The 18247-nt window shown below is 60.1% G+C and overlaps 2 protein-coding genes across 9 annotated transcripts in view, besides 1 other annotated feature; one reads left to right on the forward strand and one right to left on the reverse strand.

Annotated features, from left to right (window-relative positions):
- Nucleotides 1-1683, forward strand: part of SPNS2 (SPNS lysolipid transporter 2, sphingosine-1-phosphate) — a 40155-nt gene extending 38472 nt beyond the window's left edge. For all 4 annotated transcript variants that reach the window (XR_007065260.1, XR_007065261.1, NM_001124758.3 and 1 more), the window contains one exon: nt 101-1683. The gene's annotated coding sequence lies outside the window, so the exon portion shown is untranslated. The remainder of the gene's footprint in view (nt 1-100) is intronic.
- Nucleotides 1552-18032, reverse strand: MYBBP1A (MYB binding protein 1a). Of its 5 annotated transcripts, NM_001105538.2 has the most exons (27): nt 17775-18032; nt 17509-17604; nt 16843-16926; nt 16667-16741; nt 16458-16565; nt 15099-15274; nt 14773-14940; nt 14528-14645; nt 12706-13001; nt 11980-12090; nt 11172-11297; nt 10791-10958; nt 10606-10705; nt 8494-8590; nt 8258-8409; nt 7907-7993; nt 7674-7823; nt 7399-7569; nt 7137-7294; nt 5561-5813; nt 5264-5389; nt 5112-5180; nt 4432-4539; nt 4111-4212; nt 2996-3132; nt 2087-2615; nt 1552-1623 (listed from the first exon to the last, which is right to left on the reverse strand). In NM_001105538.2, the coding sequence occupies exons 1-27, from the start codon at nt 17970-17972 to the stop codon at nt 1588-1590; spliced, it is 3999 nt and encodes a 1332-aa protein (NP_001099008.1). In that variant the 5' UTR covers nt 17973-18032; the 3' UTR covers nt 1552-1587. The 5 variants fall into 5 exon arrangements, with proteins under 5 accessions (NP_001099008.1, NP_055335.2, XP_024306304.1 ...); NM_014520.4 differs by having other exon boundaries at nt 1552-2615; XM_024450536.2 differs by lacking the exon at nt 2996-3132 and having other exon boundaries at nt 1552-2615.
- Nucleotides 13890-14059: an enhancer, noted in NCBI's record as "active region_11543". NCBI's record gives its function as "activates an Ori minimal core promoter by ATAC-STARR-seq in GM12878 lymphoblastoid cells {active_cell/tissue: GM12878}" and the evidence as "EXISTENCE:reporter gene assay evidence [ECO:0000049][PMID:35858748]".

Here is an 18247-nt window from a genome sequence, read left to right on the forward strand (position 1 = left end):
AGGCTTGCGTCTCCAAACAGCAAGAAAAGGGAAGGAGGGAGGGCAGCCTTGGCACAGGCCCCACTAAGCCCCACTGCTGACCTGACACCCCTTTCCCCAGGTGCCATTGGGACAATGAAGAACCCACACTCCCACCTCGTCTGGGAGGTGTCCTACAGCGTCCGGGACCGGCTGGGCTGCCCCAAAGCTTTCTGTGTGATCCACGGCTAGGCACCCACCCTCTCTGGCCCAGGCCTGCTGAGTGGCCCTGGCATCAAGAAGAGGCTGTGTCCTCAGTTACCCTGGAAGGATGTGTGTGTTGGAGCCACACGGTTGGACAGGTTCCCAGCCCTAGGTTTGGGCCGCAGGGCCCCTGGGGCCAAGGAAGAAGACAGCCCCAAGTGGGTGTCCGGGGAGAGCCTGGCCTGCCACCAGCTTATGTGATCTTGGGCAAGTCCCTGCCCTCCCTGGAACGAAGGGCCAGGGGGCTGGACTTTCCCACACAACTTGCTGGGCAAAGCACGATCTGCAGCTTTGAAGACTCAACAGACCCTGGACCATACGGAGAGCAGGTGGCCCAGGCCTCAGGGCGGCAGTCCCGGCTTTGAGGCTCACGCGAGGGCCTGGTATGCAGGGACCACTGCTCAGCTGGGCCTCGGACCTTGGGGATATTGGACGCAACCTGGCAAATGAAGCTGGGCGCCCAAGTCTCTGGGTACTCCCTGGAGGACACTGTCTCACTGTCTCGGGTTGGCTCCCAGCCTGGAGGTCCCAGATGGGGACTGTTCTGACAAGCTGGCATCACCAGGGGTGAAGGCCCTGGCTGCAGCTGTACACCACCTGTGCCCCCAGGCTCAAGGTCTCTGGCAGGTGCACACCAGCCCAACTCTGCAGGGCTTCTCTCCCTGCCACCACCCCCCAAGCCAGGACCCCACTCCTTCCCCGAGGCTGAGCTGAGCCTTTTCCAGGGGCAGGGCCCAGGAGACCATTCCCAGAATCCATGGGGCAGTAGCCAGGGCTCCGGCTGCTGGAGGAAGCAGCTATCCACAAAGCTTCCTGCCCCAGAGCTGAGGCTGAGGCCCCGGGAGAGGCGGCCCCTACCCAAACACTGGCTGCTGGCATTCCACCAAGTGACCCCAGGGGGGGGCCAGGCCTTCGATCACCCACCTCCCATCCATGCACACACCAGGATGCAGCTGCCAACTTCACACCAGCCCCAACCCGCTTTGGGGGAGCTTAGCCCCCTGCGTCACCCACTCCCTGCACTTCTGCTGCAATCAAGGTGGTTCTGGTGCGGGGGTGGGGTGGGGGGTGAGGCCTTGTGGCCAATGGGGGACCCCCCAAGAGCCAGCTTGGACAATGCTCTTCTTGCCCCTTAGTTACTGGCTGGCTGTGGCTTCAGTGGTGTGTAAGCAGGTGGAATACTCACCCACCAAGCTCTGGGGTACCCCGAGGGCCTGACAAGAGGATGGGGTGGGGGTGGCATCCTCCAAAGACCAGCCTCCACCCCCACTCCAGCCTCAGCGGGGCCCCAGCGATGTTTTCTTGTTGTACAAGAACCAGGTCCGAGTGTTGCCTCCTCTTCCTTCCGGAAGCCAAACTGCTCCTTTATTTTTTAGAGCTGCTGATTGTGAATCTCAGAGTCTTAAGAGAGAAGCCAAATATATTCCTCTTGTAAATGAAGAAATAAACCTATTTAAATCACCCCCTGGTGGCTCCCTCACAGCAAAAAAGCCTGGGGGCAAAGAGGTGGCAGGCACGAGAGATGGTCACACCTGCCTGCAGCCAGCACATCAACCTGCACCAACCCAGGCAAACACCAGAGCCCTGGACATGGCCCTGGAGCCAGGGTCCCAGCCCAGAACCGGGGGTGGGGAGGTCTCTGCACCCTGGGACCCCTGCAGGAATGGCTCAGGCTGTGCTTGCCAGAGCAGGATGCCCGGGCAGGCGGCAACAGCCACCCTCCCCAGTGGCAGCGCCTTAGAAACAGCTTGCGTATTAAAATCATGGTTTAAAAAAAAAAAAAAAAAATAGGCGTCTCAGGCAGATGGAGGCAGGGGCTGAGGGGGGCCCGTACCTGTGCTCAGGGCTTCCCTGCCTTCCTCACCTGTGCTTTCTTCTTGGCCCCACTCTGAAGCAGGCTGGGACTCCTGATGACCAAAGACAGCCTTGCCTTTTTCCGTGCCAGCGCGGACAGTGGTGATTTGCCCAAGACCCCCTTTTTGGGAAGAGCCTTCTGATGCTGCTTTTGGCCTGCAGGTTCCGTGGGGGACCCGGGAGCTCCATTCACCTGGGACGGCTTCTGGTTTTTCTTCTGCAGTTTTGGGGATTTGGCAGGGGTGCTGGGGCTCCGGGTGGGGGCGCCAGGGGCTGGACTCTTGGTGGTTGGCGTCCCGTTTGCCTGGGCTGGGACCTTAGCCTTTGTCCTGTTCCTCTTCTTCCTGCCCATGCTGGGGGGCTGGCTCCCGCCGGTGGCTGCAGGTGTGCCATCCTCCGCTGGCGTGCCATCCTCTGACTTGCGTTTCTTGCGCTTCTTCGTCTCTGGCAAGAATCCCTTTTTCTTCCGCTTCTTACTGATGGGGCTCTGGGTGGCACTGGGGATCTCCTTGGCATCCTTCTTCTCCAACTTGGGGCGCCTGAAGGGAAGTGAGCAAGGTTAGAAGGTGCCCATCGAGGGCAGCAGCCACCGCCACCGCGACTGCTACCTCCACCTGGATTCTGAGGGTCCTCTGAGGCCCCTAGGTTCTGTGAGGCCCCTATGAGGGTCCCGTGAGGGTCCTATGAGGGTCCTGCGAGGCCCCTGGGTCCTGCGAGGGTCCTGCGAGGCTCCTGCGAGGGTCCTGTGAGGGTCCTACAGCTCCCACATCTGAGAATGCGCTTGAGTGCATGTGTGTGCAGCAGCATGCGTGTGCAGTGTGCGTGTGCAGCAGCGTGTGTGCAGCGTGTGTGTGTGTGCAGCAGCGTGAGGGTGTTCCCAGCCCCTACCCAAGGTGTGTGTCCCCCTCCCAGAACCTACTGGACTCCCAGGGTTTTCATGGCCTGCCAGTAGAGGTCGTGCAGGCGGCTGGAGCCGGTGGAGTGTGCCCCCTGCTGTAGGCTCTGCTGTTGCCCCTGCAGCACACCCAGGAGCACCGTCAGGTCCAAGGTCAGCTTCTGCAGAGGGTGGGAAGGCAGAGCTGTGGGGCCACAGAGGGCGGGGCCTCTCGCGGGCTCCCAGTCTTCCCACCTCTGCCCTGTTGCTGCCTCACCAGTGACCCCTGCCCCTTCCTGGGCCTCAGCCTCTCCTTCTGCCTGTTAAGTCATCCGTGTCTCTTACCGAGGGAGGAAACACGCGCCCCAGGTGTTGGTTCTCCTCCTTCCCATAGCCAAAGGCCTGGTCTCAGAGTCTCGGTGTCCTCCCCTCCAGCAGTGGCCCGGGCCCACCCACCTCCAAGAGGGCCACTCCCCAGCACTCCATCACCGCGGGGCTGCCAAAGCGCTTCCCCACCCAACCCTGCCACCTTCCTGCACATCCTGAATGGGTTATTGTTGGAATCCGCCAGCTTCCGGGAGCCCTGCTCTCCTGGCTTCCTCACTATCAGCCAGTTTTGTAAGGCCCCGTCCCGGGCCCCGCCTCTGCCTGCCAGCACCCCCTTGGCAAGCTCTCCCTCCACAAGGGCTGACTAGCACCTATGCTGAAGATTCCCAAACCCCGCCCTCTGGGCCAGACCGGGGGACCCAGATGGCCACCTCCAGCTGCCTCCCAGCCCTGCCCTGATGGCTGCCCACACTCCTGTACCAGGCCTGGAAACCTGGCTGCTCACCCTGAATCTTCTCCAACCCTTCCACAGTCTCCAGCCCTGCCAGCCCCTTCTCGGCTTTCTCACGGGATGTGGCAGTGCCACCCCACCCCCTCTCACCCCGCCCTGCAGGAGGAGGACAGGGTGGCACAGTCCCTTCCCAAGTCACTCACCCATCCATGGTTTGGTAACTGCCCAAATGGCAGCCCAGAGCCCTGGCCCAGGCACTGAGAAGTTTCCCCACATGACCCCCATCCCTGCAGTCCAGCCCGGGCATGGCACTGCTGGCCGGGAGGCCCCAAGGCCCCCAAGAGGAACCCGAACACGACCGCGGACTGGGCCCCCGCCTCACCTCATGTTTGCAGGTCCTGAAGAGAACGTTGAGCAGCTCCAGGGAGGACAGTGCCTGCTGATGCTGCGCCTTGGTCTGCGCCTCCCCCAGCACGCGCAAGTTCTAGGGAAGGGTGGCCAGGCTGAGGCACTCCGGAGAGCTGCTCAAAGCCTTTCTGTTTCCCAGCCGGAAGTAAAGCCCAGAGGCAGGGACCGTCTCCTGGGACAACCCCAGTTCTCCCGACTCTGGACTCAGGCTCCAATCCTCACTTCTTTCCCAGAGATCGGTCTCCCGGAGAACTGATTCTGAGGGGGTGGGGAAAGGGCGCCCCCCGGCTGTTACCTCGGTGACCTTTGCTAGGACCTGGCCCATCAGCTGCTTCCACTCGGGGTCCTCAAAGCACGACCTCACCTCCCGCATGGACAGGGTCTTCTGGAGCAGCAGGCAGGCCTGTGGGTGGGCAAAGGTGGGTGGCAGGAGCCTTGGCACGTTGGGTGCTCACGGCTCAGGGATGCATGAGGGCTCGGGGGCCCGCTGGGCACTGCTGTGGGCAGCGTGTGAGGCTGCCTGCTGCTCTGGGCTCTGTGACTACCTGCTCCTGTGCCTTTGTGTGCAGGTGGGGACACCAAGGCCTCCCAGCTGGATAGAGGTGGGACCTCAGGTTGGGACAATTCCTGCCCATTATTGGCTTAGTGCCATCTTCCTCCAGCCTGCCCCCAACAGCCCTGGCACCAGAGCAGACACTACCAGGGGCATCCTGTGTGTGGCCAGATGGGCAGCAGTGGCTGCGGGAGTGAGGCTGGCCCTGCCCCCTCAGCTCCTGTGTGTTCACTGTGTGGCAGGGGCCAGGGCACGGCCACCCCCTTCAGAGACCATGTACCCACAGCCAAGCCAGTGGGGCAGGGACAGCTGTGCCCGTGCTCACCAGGACAGCGCTCTGGGGCCTCACAATATCCAGTCAGAAGAGGGTTAAGCGGGTTAATTCAGACAGGCCCTGGGCTGGGAGCTGGGAAGTCTCTCACCTGATGACGGGGCCGCACCGGGCCCGTGATATGCTGGACCAGGATGGGGAGCAGGCTCTGACAGAGCACCTGGTGGGGAGTGACAAGGGCTGTGAGGTGCAGGCTGGGCTGAGCAGGGACCATGAGGAAGCAGGGCAGGCCCCAACACTCACCGGGTGCCGGGAGAAGAGGCTGAGGAACATGGGAACTGTGAGGGGGCTGTTGCGCTTGGTCAGGAAGGAGCTCAGTGCTGTCGAGTACACCCGGGTCACCAGGTTCAAGTCCAAGCAGCTGGCAGCCTAGGCCAGGGGAGAGCGAGCTGGGTGAGGCCAGGAGAGGGGTCCCTGGGATGGGAGCAGAGCCTGGCCTACCTTCATCAGAAGGCTGAGGGTTGGGCCCTGGGGAAGTCCCGGCCTCCACTCCCTGGCTGTGAAATGCCTGGGGCTGCTCCTGGGCCAGGCCCTGCTCACCTGCGGGCCCGTGGGCATGTGGCTGGGGTCAGTGCCAGCTTTCTGCTTCTCCTGTGTCTCATGCACGCAGCCCTCAGCAGTGTTGCCCTTCAAGACCCGGAGCAGGTAGAGAGAGGCGTTGAAGTGGTAGAGGGCGGTGGGGGAGTCGGGCTGGCGGCCAGCCTGCTGCACCAACCGCTCCACCTGGGCGTGCAGGGCCCCTGCGCGCTCACCCAAGTCGTGGCAGTAGCGCCGGGCACGGCACAGGTGGTGCCTGTGGGTGGTGAGGACGAGAGCTGGTCAGAACATTCTCGGTCCACCCTGCTCCGCCAAGCAGAGCCAACCCAAGTCCCACTTTATAAGTGGGGAAACAGACCTAGAAGACGACAGAGGCGACCCAGGCCACAGAGGAGGGCCCAGGGCCGCCTGCAGGCTGCCTGGAAGCTGTGTGGGCTCAGAGTGCTGGGGTGACAGGGGCGCTCCAGGGGAGAACAGAACAGCTCCCTGAGTGGAGGCTGCACCAAGGGCCAACTGCCTGCCTGGGGCACCCCTCCTGTCTACACTTGTCTCTCATGGGGCAGTGGCCTTCAGGCCTTTTGTAAAGCGAGACAAGGGTTCATGTGCTTAGAACCCTCTGTGGCCCTGCAGGGCCGGGGATATAATGGGGGCAAGAGGCAGGATGCTCAACAAACGACACTGTCCACGCACGCTGGCAGAACTATCTGAGAAGGCGTGGCCCGGGCGGGCCTGGGTTTGTGAAGAATGCACTGCCAGTCACACTCCCCACCCCTCCTGACTATCCACGCAGCGCCCCAGCTCCCAGGCCTTCACCTCCCCAGCACCTGAGCTCTGAAGGCAGGTCTACCAGGTGCCTGCCTGTCTCTCCCACGCCTGCCACCGCCTCCCTCCTGGGCCCTCTGCCTCCAGCACAGCCCCTCCCAAACCCTTCTCCACGCTGCCAGCCGTTTCTGAAAAGGCAAACCAGACTCAGACCCTTCCCCACGCCACTGCTCTTGCTGATAATGCCTCTGTGGCCTCCAGCACCGCTAGGGTCAGGGCCTGCGAGGGTGCGGGGGTCTGTGGCCTCGCTGCTTGCCTGACCTTCCAGCTGCGTGTCTGACCAGCTCCCGTCAGGATGCTCTTCCTCCCTTTCTGCCCTGCCCAAGGCCTCCCAGCCTGACAAACTCCCATGCACACTACACCTCCGAGGACTGGGTTGGGTGTCCCCTGCCACAGGTGCACCCACTGTCCCCCTCCACCCCAGCACAGCCCCACTTGAGACTGTCAAGGGCAGGGATGGACCCCAGCTCCAGGGCACTGTTGGCACAGCCCCACTTGAGACTGTCAAGGGCAGGGATGGACCCCAGCTCCAGGGCACTGTTGGCACTGTGTCGGGAGAACGCGGGGATGAAGCAAGGACTGTGGGAATCACTAAGTGACGTGTGCCTCTAGGGCTGAGCAGTGAGCCTGCGAGCTAGGGGCCCAGGCTGGAAGCTTGGCTCTCTCCTTCCTGTGCAGACAGCAAGCCTAGAGCTCTGGCTCTCCTGCGCCTGGGGGCTGCCGGCCACACCTGCCCGCCCTGCACCCCCGTGCTCACGTGAAGATGCGCGCCGTCTTGTGCAGAAGGTCCTGCTCCTGTTTGGAGCTGCTGCTGCGCAGGCTGCGCCGGATGATGCTCAGCAGCGGCTCCAGCAGCTCCAGGACCAGGGCATTCTCGGGCTGCTTGGTCACTAGCACCTCCACCAGGTCCAGCACCTGCAGCCAGGAGGGCAGGTCAGCAACACGGGGGTGGGCGCACAGGGAGGCGGGGGTGGGCGCACAGGGAGGCGGGGGTGGGTGCGGCCCGCCCCCAGGCTCACCCGGATCTGGAAGTCGCGCCGCAGAGCCTTCTCCTTCTGCAGCTTGTTCTTCTCGTCTCGCCGGGCCTGGATACGCAGCTTCTGCTCGGCAAAGAGGCTGGCGAGGCTCTGGTCCAGGGCCATCATGGCCTCATCCCCCAGCTCCTCCTCGTTCTCACTGTCCTCTCCACCCTGAGGGACAGAGGCCCAGCGGTCAGCCAGGCCTCGGGCAGGCACACAACATGGGGACACCCGAGCCCTCCCCGGCCGCCCCCCCCTCCACCTCCCCCACTCACCAGCGCCTTCCCAGCCTGCAGCACGGTCATCAGCTGTTCCCGGAAGCCCTGATCCACGTCCCCGTCGCGCTCCTCCTCCTCGCTCTCCTCCCCCTCGCTCTCCTCTTCACTCTCTGAGCTTCTGTTGTCCTCACCTTCCTCGCTCTTGTCCTGTGTGGTAGAGGCAGGCGCGTCACACACCTCCCCGATCGTCCCACTCCCCACCGCCCCCGCCCGGCCCATGCTGGCAACACCTCTGCACCCTTCAGCCGCCGCTCATCAGAATCGTCCGTCACCACCACACGGTCATTCTCATCCTCACTGGTCTCGGGGTTCAGCACCTGGGGAGGGGTGCCAGCCACTGACCCATTTGCAGCCCCCGCCCTCCTCTCCAGGCCCCACTCAGCCTTGACCAAAGACCTCCATTTCCCAGAAGAAAACGGAGCCTAGGAGAGGCGGCCAGGCCAGGCCAAGGCCTCGTTGAGACCCCTCCCACCGGCCGCAGGCTCCCGGCAGGGAGGCTGGAGGCTGAAGCGGCACCCCTGGTGCAGCTCGCTGCTCAGTGAGCCCCAGCCCACATTCCACTCCCAAAGGTCCCAACTCACATCCAGAATTAGCTGCAGGGCACGCGGGGTCAGGTGGGAGCAGATGTGGCCAAACACGCTCCGGGCCACCTGGCGCATGAGGTGGCTGGGCTGGGCCAACAGGGCCAGCAAGATCTCCACCAGCACCTCTACCCACGGGGGTTCCTGGGGGTCTGCAAGAGGGAGGGGTTGAGCCCGGATAGGGGACCGCTGGCCCCACCCCACCACTCTAGTCCCTCTCGTGACCAAGGACCCACCGATGGTCTTGGTGCGGCTCCGGCGGGGCTTCTCTCCCAGACTTTTCCTGATGCAGGTCTGGATGTCACCCAGCAGGTCACAGCTCTCTGCAGGGGACTGCGGGCAGGGTAGGACACACACTGGGGCCAGGCCCTGTCCCCAGCCCTTCTAAACCAGGCAAGGGGCTGGCCAAATGGCAGCAGTGGCATCAAGAAGCCTCCAACACCCAGCCACTGGCCCGCCCTGGCCAGTCACCCCCACAATCCAGAACAGAAGACCCCAGCTGGACACCCCAAGAGCTGAGGGCTTTTGAGATGGAGTCTCGCTCTATTGCCCAGGCTGGAGTACAGTGGTCTGATCTCGGCTCACCACAACTTCTGCCTCCCAGGTTCAAGCCATTCTCCTGCCTCAGCCTCCCAAGTAGCTGGGATTGCAGGCGTGTACCACCATGCCCGGCTAATTTTTGTATTTTGAGTAGAGACGGGGTTTCACCATGTTGGCCAGGCTGGTCTTGAACTCCTGACCTCGTGATCCACCCCCTTGCCCCCCTTGGCCTCCCAAAGTGCTGGGATTGCAGGTGTGAGCCCCCGCGCCCAGCTAGCTGACGGCTTTTTCACACCTAATACGCAGTTACAGGATCCAAAAGCCTGAAGGGGACAAGGAGTCCAACTCCCCCTTGGACACTCAAGAAAGGCAGAACCTGACAAGGATGGTCAGGGTCCCAGAGAAGCCAGCAAGCCCCAGCCCCCAATTCATAATTCTAGATTATTCCCTCCATGCTTGGCTTGGCATGAGAGACAGAATTGAAAGTCATTAGTTTTAACTAATTTAATTACATTGAACTCATCTGACTGGGGATAACCCCAGACTCGAGTGAGGTGGCGTGGTGTGCGCATGTGCGTGTGCAGGAGCTCTTGAAAACTGTGTGATCTTTGGTACCTAAAAAGCAGACTTTCCCCTCATAATGCAGTCGGCAGCTTGAACGTTTAGGCCAGGGTGGGACAAAGCAGCCCAAAGCCCTTGTCATTGCTCTCCGGCTCCCAGGCTGTGTGCCCAAGCAGGTCCCCGTCCTCCTCTGGGCTGCACCTTTTTTTTTTTTTTTCTAAGACAGAATCTTGTTCTGTTGCCCAGGCTGGAGTACAGTGGTGTCATCTCAACTCACTGCAACCTCCGCCTCCCAGGTTTAAGCAATTCTCCTGCTTCACCCTCCTGAGTAGCTGGGATTACAGGCACCTGCCACCACACCTGGCTAATTTTTGTATTTTAGTAGAGAAGGGGTTTCACTCTGTTGGCCAGGCTGGTCTTGAACTCCTGACCTCGTGATCACCTGCCTTGGTCTCCGGAAGTACTGGGATTACAGGTGCGAGCCCCGAGCCTGGCCAGGGCTGCACCTTTTATCTAAGGCTCTGACACAGCAAACTGCAGCCTCCTCTGTCCAAGTCAAGTTCGGAGATCCCAAGGCTGGGGGCAGGCTCCACATGTGTCCTGGAATCACCAGGACTCTGCTGCTATCAAAGGCCTGACGTCAAGAATTGGAAGGGGCATCGTGGCCAACCTTTCCCCAAACAGCTCATCCACATGCTGGGCTCAGAATAACCAAAGCTGGCAAGTAAGGCAACCACAGTCAAGTGGCCAGACGGGAGCAAGCAAGAGACCCACCTACTCAGGCTACAGAAGACCTAAAGCAGCCCCAATAAGAGCAGCTTATGTCATGAGAAGAAAACTCAAAAGAAATCAGGGTACTGAGCCTCGAATGTGGTCAGGGCTTCTTGATGGGAAGAACCGAGCGGGAGAGCCCGTTGCCAGAAGGTGTTCCCACAGCAGGGGGTACAGTGCAAGCTCCTTTGCCTCTGAGTCTTAGTTTCTCCATGTCAAACATGGAGAGGGGGTGTCTGCCTCAAAGCTGTGGGGATTACGAGATCCTGCATGGAAAGCCTAGGACACCAGCTGGTGCCGCTAAGTGGCCGGAGGGATGTTTCCACCTGTGACAAAGTTGGCTTCAAAAACCTCCCAACTTAACTCCCCCAGAACCTTTCCTGGAAACCCGCACAGCCCTCAAAAGCCTCTCGGTAGGGGGCCCATTGTGCCATAGAACCCCAGGCTCACAGCCCCTCCCTCCCAGGCCCCAGTACCTTGAGGAGGTGGATGCCCACGAGGAGCAGAAGGTGCTGGAAGGCAGCAGCCCTGGCCTCTGCGGAGTGGGCCTCCAGCTCCTTCAGAGTCTGCAGCATCCTGCGGGGAGACAGGCGATTCCCAGGCCCCTGCACCAGTCAGACTGCAGCGTCCTGCCCACCCCCTGGAAATCCCACGTGCTCACCGGTCCCAGGCCTGGCGCTGCTGCGCAGTGAAGGGTGTCACGGTGGTCACGTTGTGGCTGTGATTCAACAGGAGGTCTGCGAACTGCACCAGGTGGTAGGTCCAGGGCTGCCCACCCTGGGTCTGGCCCGGTGCCTGCTTGAACTGCGTGCTGAGGGTCTGCAACAGACTGGGCAAGGGATGGGGCTTGGGGTCAGCAGACCAGATGAGTCAATGTAGCCGCCTCCCTCCGCCCTCCCCAGGGCTCGGTCTCCCGCCTCTCCAGGACCTACTAGAACTCCGGGGGCCTCTGCCGTTGTTCCCAGCTTAGGGGACCTGGAGGGAGCAGGCGCCCTCAAGGCCTTCCCACCTTCGGACCTCTCCTGGGCTGCCCAAGACTCACCTGAAGAAGGCACTGCTGACAGCCTCTCGGGCCTGGTTTTCCAAAGGGAAGGAGAACGGGTGCTTTGTCTCAGGGATCTGGGATGTGGGCTTCTTTGTGACAAAGAACGAGTGGAACAAACAAAACCTGGGGAGGGTGGGAGAGTGGCCATAGCCATTCACTGCCATTGGTTTTTACAGGCTCCCCTCCTTGGATGGTACCACCGAGGGTACAAGGCCAGGAGGAGGAGGAGCCGCCCTTCTGCCCTGGGTACAGTCCTCGGGGGCCTGACGGGCAAGGCTGGAGGGGGCTGGGCTGGGCTAGGATGGGAAGGGGCCGTTTCTCTGCTCTGGATCCCCAGCTGAACGCGGGTTAACCCGAGCTAGAGAGAGTCAGTGCCCCTCTCAAGGAACCAACAGATGGGAGGCTGTGTGGTCATGGCCAAGTCAGGTCACTGCTCCTGCGAACATGGGACAGCCCCCTCTTGCAACCGTGCATGTTGAGGGTGACGTGAGCACCCAGCTCTGCACTGGCACAGACGAGGCAGGTGTGGGGCAGAAGGCTTCCCTGACACCTCCCACGTGCAAAAGCTGCCTGCAGGGCGCGCAGAGCACACCTGAACCTTTTAGGCCCCTGCAGCTGGGGTGCCTCCTGGGCCCCTTCCCTTCACGGGTTCCTGAGGAATTCCCAAGTCCCCTTGTGCCTGCCCCCCACTGATGACTCAACCCAAAGGCTTCTGGCTCCAGGGGATGCAAACTAGGACGAGTTAAGGGGCCCCATTCCTTGGCCACACGCCCATGGGAAGCTGGGAATCCAGCACAGCTCGCACCTGGCCACCTGCTCAGTCAAGGCCTCCTCCATCTCCAGGTGCAGGCTGTCCACAATGCTCACCAATCGAAAGATGATCCATTTCCTCAGCCGGAACACAGCTCGCTCAGGCCTAGCGGGGCAGGAGGCGAGGTCATGTGAGCCACTTATAACTGGCAGAAACAGGCTGGGCCCAGTGGCTCACACCTGTAATCCCAGCACTTTGGGAGGCCAAGGCTGGCCAATCACTCGAGGTCAGGAGTTCGAGACCAGCCTGACCAACACGGTGAAACCCCATCTCCATTAAAAATACAAAAATTAGCTGGGTGTGGTGGCGGGTGCCTGTAGTCCCAGCTACTGGAGAGGCTGAGGCAGAGAATCACTTGATTGCTTGAACCCGGGAGGCAGAAGTTGCAATGAGCTGAGATCACACGCCACTGCACTCCAGCTTAGGCCACAGAGAGTGAGACTCTGTCAAAAAAAAAAAAAAAAAAAAAAAAGAACCAGCAAAAACAGGACATTCCTTTGCCTGATCTCAGAGACAACACTCCAAGATCTCCCCATCCCGATCGCCAGTGTGGGGACACACAAGTAAACTGAGGCCTCATATGAGAGCTAAGGCTCTTCCCCCTCGCTCCTCTCATGGTTTAGAGCCAGGACGCTGTGGAGGGCGGGCTTGGGTCGCGGGGCTCTGCAGGCCTAGGAAGTTAACTCCTAAATTAGGTGTCCTCCCCCAAGGTCCACTCACATGTGGAGCGATGAATCCTGGGCTTTCTTCTGGTTGTTGGTGCTGAAGTCAACCAAGGAGTCCAGGTCTGGCTGGAGAAACATGGCCCGCAGCCAGGCCACATAGCCCTGCAGGGCCGGAGGGCTCAGGAACCGCACGACCCGCCAGAAAGTAGGCGTGACAGGGAGGCCTTGGTTGGTGACAGATGAGAAGGCCACTAGCACGGCCAGCTGCCGCTCAGGGTCATCCTGGCACCCCTCTAGGAAGGTGCCCACGTAATCGTCCATCTCTGGGGCAAACTTGAACTGCTTTGGGAGCTGCAAGAGTTAGGCATGGCGCTGAGCCCACCAGCCCAGGGGGGCAGGCGGTTAACAACCCAACAGCCAAGGGGGCAGGCGGGCAACAGCCCAACAGCCCAACAGCCCGGGGGCAGGCGGGCAACAGCCCACCAGGCTTGTGCCCACTACAGGTTAAATCGAGCCCCGGCAATCTCCTGTTGTACACAGCTAGGCTGTGCCTGAACTTGCAACAGTCCAGTCACCCCAGTGCTTTTGTCTGGCGTCAAGGCCTCTGTGGGTCTGACTGCCCCAGCTTCAGCACCTCCGGCCCCAGAAGGCCCCTCTTTCCGCCTTGCTGGATGGGGATGGCCTGTTTTCCTGGCTCAACGCAGGGCAGAGTGGTAGTTAGGAGGCGAGACTGACCTGGGTTCAAAGCCCACGCTGCCAATTCCTAGCCGTGTCATCTTCGGGACCAAAAACAACCACCTCTCACGCGCTTACTCAGTGCCAGCACCCGCGCTCCGCCTTTTTGGGCGGCAGCTTAGCATTTTTAGCAACTCTTTGCGGTTGGCCAATATTGTCATTGCACAGGTGAGTACAGTGAGACACAAAAACACCTAGAGGTAACTTCTCAGGGTCAGAGGCTCCCAGTGGGATAGTGTCCGGCTTCACAGCCCAAGCTGTTTTCCTTTCAATTTTTTAGACTTGTGCCCCTGGCATGTAGTGCCATGATCATGGCTCACTGCAGCCTCAAAATTCTGGGTTCAAGGGATCCTCCCACCTCAGCCTCCCGAGTAACTGGGACTACAGGTGTGCACCACCATCCAACCCAAGCTCTTAACCACTGCCTGATACTTCAAGTCTCCCCCTCACCCAGAATGACAGCTCTCTGAAACTCACTGCAAAGATAAAATGAGCTGGTGAGAACAGTCAACCCAGCAGCACTTACTGGGCACCAGGCTCACTGGTGCCCAAACATGGTCATGACGACTGTTCTCATCACTGCCACATGGGCGGGGGCGGAGAGAGGTCTGAACAGCCCGCTGGCTATCCATGCCCACAAGGGGGCCTGCTGGCAGAAGGGCCTGACTTTATCAAAACTGTCAGAGGGAAGCCAGGTACAGTGGCTCACGTCTGTAATCCCAGCACTCTGGGAGGCCAAGGCGGGTGGATCACCTAAGGTCAGGAGTTCGAGACCAGCCTGGCCAACATGGCAAAATCCCGTCTCTACCAAAAATACAAAAATTAGCTGGGCGTGGTATTGGGCGCCTGTAATCCCAGCTACTCAGGAGGCTGAGGCAGGAGAATCGCTTGAACCTGGGAGGCGGAGGTTGCAGTGAGCCAAGATCTCACCACTGCGCTCCAGCCTGGGCGACAAGAGCAAAACTTCATCTCAAAAAAAAAAAATTTGTCCGAGGGAAAGGGGTTCAGGCAGCTCACTACCCAGACGGAGGGGACACCCATAGCTCTAGCCAAGCCCCCGAGGTGCCCTGCTCCCCTTTTTGGCAGGGAGAGCTCCACGTCTAGCCTTTCTGGCAGTGTCGAGCTGCACGGGCATTACCCACCTTAGCAGTGCACACGTGCTCCCCGTAATGGCGGATCACGTCTCCCTGCATCACCAGGTGCAGCTGCTCCTTGGTCAGCAGGGGCAGGGCCGCGCCCAGCAGGCGGAAACACAGGTAGCTAAAGGGGGTGCAGGACAGAGCCTGGTCAGAGCCCTTGGTGCCCCTGGTGGGAACCTCAGGACTAGTGGCCTAGCCCACTTCACGGACAGGGAAGGGGGCCGAGAGAGGACACGCGTCGCCCGCACCTGGCTGGCCAGAACTGCATCTTCAGCAGCCCTTGTTCCACCACCTCCTTCCAGAACCGTGGGAACTTGTCTTCCTTGAGTGCCAGGCGGAGCAGGTCCAGAGCAATGGCGGGCAGCTTGCGGTCCTTCTTCACAGAGGAGGCGGCCATCTTCAGCACATTCACCAGCCTGCGGAGGGCAAGGGACTCAGGGAACACTTGCCTCACAGGCAAGGGCCAGGGTGACAAGAGCAGCCGGGACACCCCCAGGCCAAACGACAAATCTGGGCCTGGCCAGATGCAGTCCCTTGGCCCCAGGGAGGGCAAATCCGCCCACCTCCATCACACCTGGGGACATTCTCATCTGAGAATAGGTTCACGGATCCCACCAGCTTCTTGAGCTTGGAGGGCACCTTCTGCTGGGCCAGGAGGAAGAGCTCTAGCTGTTCAGGGGAGCTGAGTATTATATTCAAGTCGGCTTTGAGGACCTCCGGCAGGATCTCCTGCAATGTGGCCTTCGAGACCTAAGGATGGAGGGAGAAGAAATCGTGACTTCCTCTGCGGGGTGAGCCTGGTGGATCCTGTTCTACCTGCTCCTGACACGGGGCCACCTGGTGAGGTATCAGAGTCATCAGAGGCCAGTTGCTAACAAAACTCAAATTCCCAGGCAGCGGGGTTTTTGACAAGCATCCCACTGACGCTAACTGGCCCCTGGAGGTACCTGCCCCCCACCCCTTATTTTTTTTTTTTAAGACAGAGTCTCACTTTGCCACCCAGGCTGAGTATAGTGGTGTGATCTTGGCTCACTGCAACCTCCGCCTCCCAGGTTGAAGCAATTCTCCTGCCTCAGGTGGGATTAAAGGTGTGCGCCATCACACCCAGCTAATTTTTGTATTTTTAGTAGAGATGGGGTTTCACCATGTTGGCCAGGCTGGTCTTGAACTCCTGACCTCAAGTGATCTGCCCACCTCGGCCTCCCAAAGTTCTGGGATTACAGGCGTGAGCCACCATGCCCGGTCAAAGCTACCCTTTTAATTATTCCTTTTTTTGGTATTTCAGAGTACTAGCTCATTTCATACACGAGGAGCCCTAGGTGGAGAGCTGGGATTCGAATTCAGGTCCTTCTGGCTCTGAGGTCAAGACTGCACAGTAAGCCCTGGCCTGGAGACCTGCTACCCCTGCCTTTCTCTTCGGTGACAAAAGGGCCTAGGGTGCTACCTTCCCAAGTAGGGCAGTGGAGGCCCACAAGGGGCCAGCCTTGACCAGGATAACAATGGCAAACGTTTTATATACTTGCCACGTGCCAGGCACAGTTCCAGAGCTGCACTGCCCAATACGGTAGCCACAGCCACACAGGGCTGCTGAGCGCCTGAAAGGTGGCTAATCTGAACAGGGGTGTGCCTAAGTGTAACATACACACTGGATTTTGGAGACACCTGACAAAAAGAGTGTAAGATATCTCAACACTTTTTTATACCAATGCACACTGAAATAATATTTTAGATATACCAGATAAAGTCAAATGTCACTAAATGTTACTAAATGACACCTGTTTCTTTTTACCTTTTCAACAAAGTCACTGAAACGCTTCAAATTATACATCTTTGTATTTCTATGGAACAGTGCTGTTCCAGATTCTCATCCGAGCCCCCTTGATGTCTCTGTAACAAAGTGTTGCCTGGGCCCGCACAGCTGGGGAGCTCATACCTCGGAGAGGATGTCCACCAGGGCCTTCCGGGGCTGCTCCTGCAAGTGGTTTTGGTACTGGGCCAGGGCCTGCAGCAGCTTCACCGACTTCATCAGTGCCTCCTGGTCCTGGTCCCCACAGAGGGACAGAGGGTATGAGCAGGGCACACGACTGTCCCCCACCCATCCCAAGCCAGCCTACATTCCCCCAGTCCCTCCAAAGCTCTTACCTTCACCAGCCGACCTGACTGAAAGAGGGCGAGCACTCCAAACAGGTTTGCAAAGAGAGCAGGTCTCAGCATTGCCTAGAAAAGGATTCCAGGCACAGGCATGAGGGGCCCTGGAACTCCCCATTCCCCAAGCCTCCCACCCCTGGGGCTGCTGACCTCCCTGGCCCCACTCTCACCTTCTTCACCTGATGCAGGTCATATTTTTCTTGTATCTGCTGCAGGATGCTGCACAAGGGGAGGTCTTCAAAAGACTGTAACAGCTGCCAGGAGTTGTGTGGCAGGAGGAAGAGGGTTCAGGAGAGTGGCCCAACTACGTCTTCACAAACCTTAACCTCCCTTCCCCCTTCAACTTCTCCCAAGAAGCCTCAGGTCCCTAGTCCCACCTTCTATGTACCTTCTATGGCCCCTAGATTACTAGTCTGAAATGCTCAGCCACTGGGTCTTCTCTCCGCACGTGGTCTGAGCTCCCCTCAGGCTGATCCTGCAGGCCTGGGTCTTTATTGCTCTGCCCCTTGTCAAGGCGCCTCAGAGAGTGGTCTACTCCAATCAGCTGAATGCCTCTGCAGGCCTAAGGGAGCCCACCCAGCGCTCACTGCTCCCAGAAAGTGTACCTAAGAGGCCGGGCAACCCAAGCACCAAATAGAAAACCTGGCCAGGCCTTGCTCACACCTTCTCCACTTTCATGAAGAGGCCTCCCTCAGGTTGGCCTCCAGTCTGCTCTGCCACTCCCGACCTCTCTCTCGGGCTGCCCCTCCGCCACAGCTGAGACACCACACCCGCCCTCCTCATACCCCACCATTTTGACCTGGATGGCTGGGACCCTGCCAGGAGCACCACCTCACCTGTGCCAGGGCCAAACTGTAGCAGGGCCGGGCTGTTTCTCGCCCGACCCCGAGTCCCGTGATTAGACGCTTCAGGGCATATTTCATCTCGGACCCCTGCGGAACCAAGCACACCCTCGTGTTCAATGGTGACAACAAGGTGCACGCCCCCGCGCACCCTGGCATCCAGGTTCGCGACCACGTGCCCCCAGTCTCAACTCCCTGGGCCCGCCGCCGCTTCCTTGCCGGGATATGCGCAGCCTCTGCCCCAGACCCCGCCACTCCACCTTCGGCCTGCCACGCAGATACTCCAGCAGCTTCTCCGTGGCCGCAAGTCGCGTCTCCTGCTCAGGCTTCGCAATGTCCCAGAAGAAGTCCAAGAACTCGCGACTGTGCTTCAATAGGCCATAGCGGTCGGCAGGCCGGGCGCCACTCTGCGTCGCTTCTCCAGGCGACATCGGCTGGGCGGGATCCCGGCTCTCCATCTCCGCCACACTCACCGAAACACGAAACACGTGTGCTCCGGCCCCAGCCGCTTCCAGGTCAGGGCACGGCGCATGCGCACCGGTTTGTGTCGGCTCGGAGGCGGAAGAACCCGGAGGGGCGGGGGAACCAAGAGAGACCGGCCCAGAGTTAAAAGAGCGGCATTTCCGCCGTAGCTCTGAGCGGAAGTCCCTCGCCTAGCGGCGTCCCATCTTTCCCAGCCTTCTGCTCACACCCGCTCCGCCCTGGCGGCTGTGGCATCTGCCCCTTTGGAGCC

The sequence above is a fragment of the Homo sapiens genome, chromosome 17 (genome assembly GCF_000001405.40).
Source record: "Homo sapiens chromosome 17, GRCh38.p14 Primary Assembly".
NCBI classification, from domain to species: domain Eukaryota; kingdom Metazoa; phylum Chordata; class Mammalia; order Primates; family Hominidae; genus Homo; species Homo sapiens.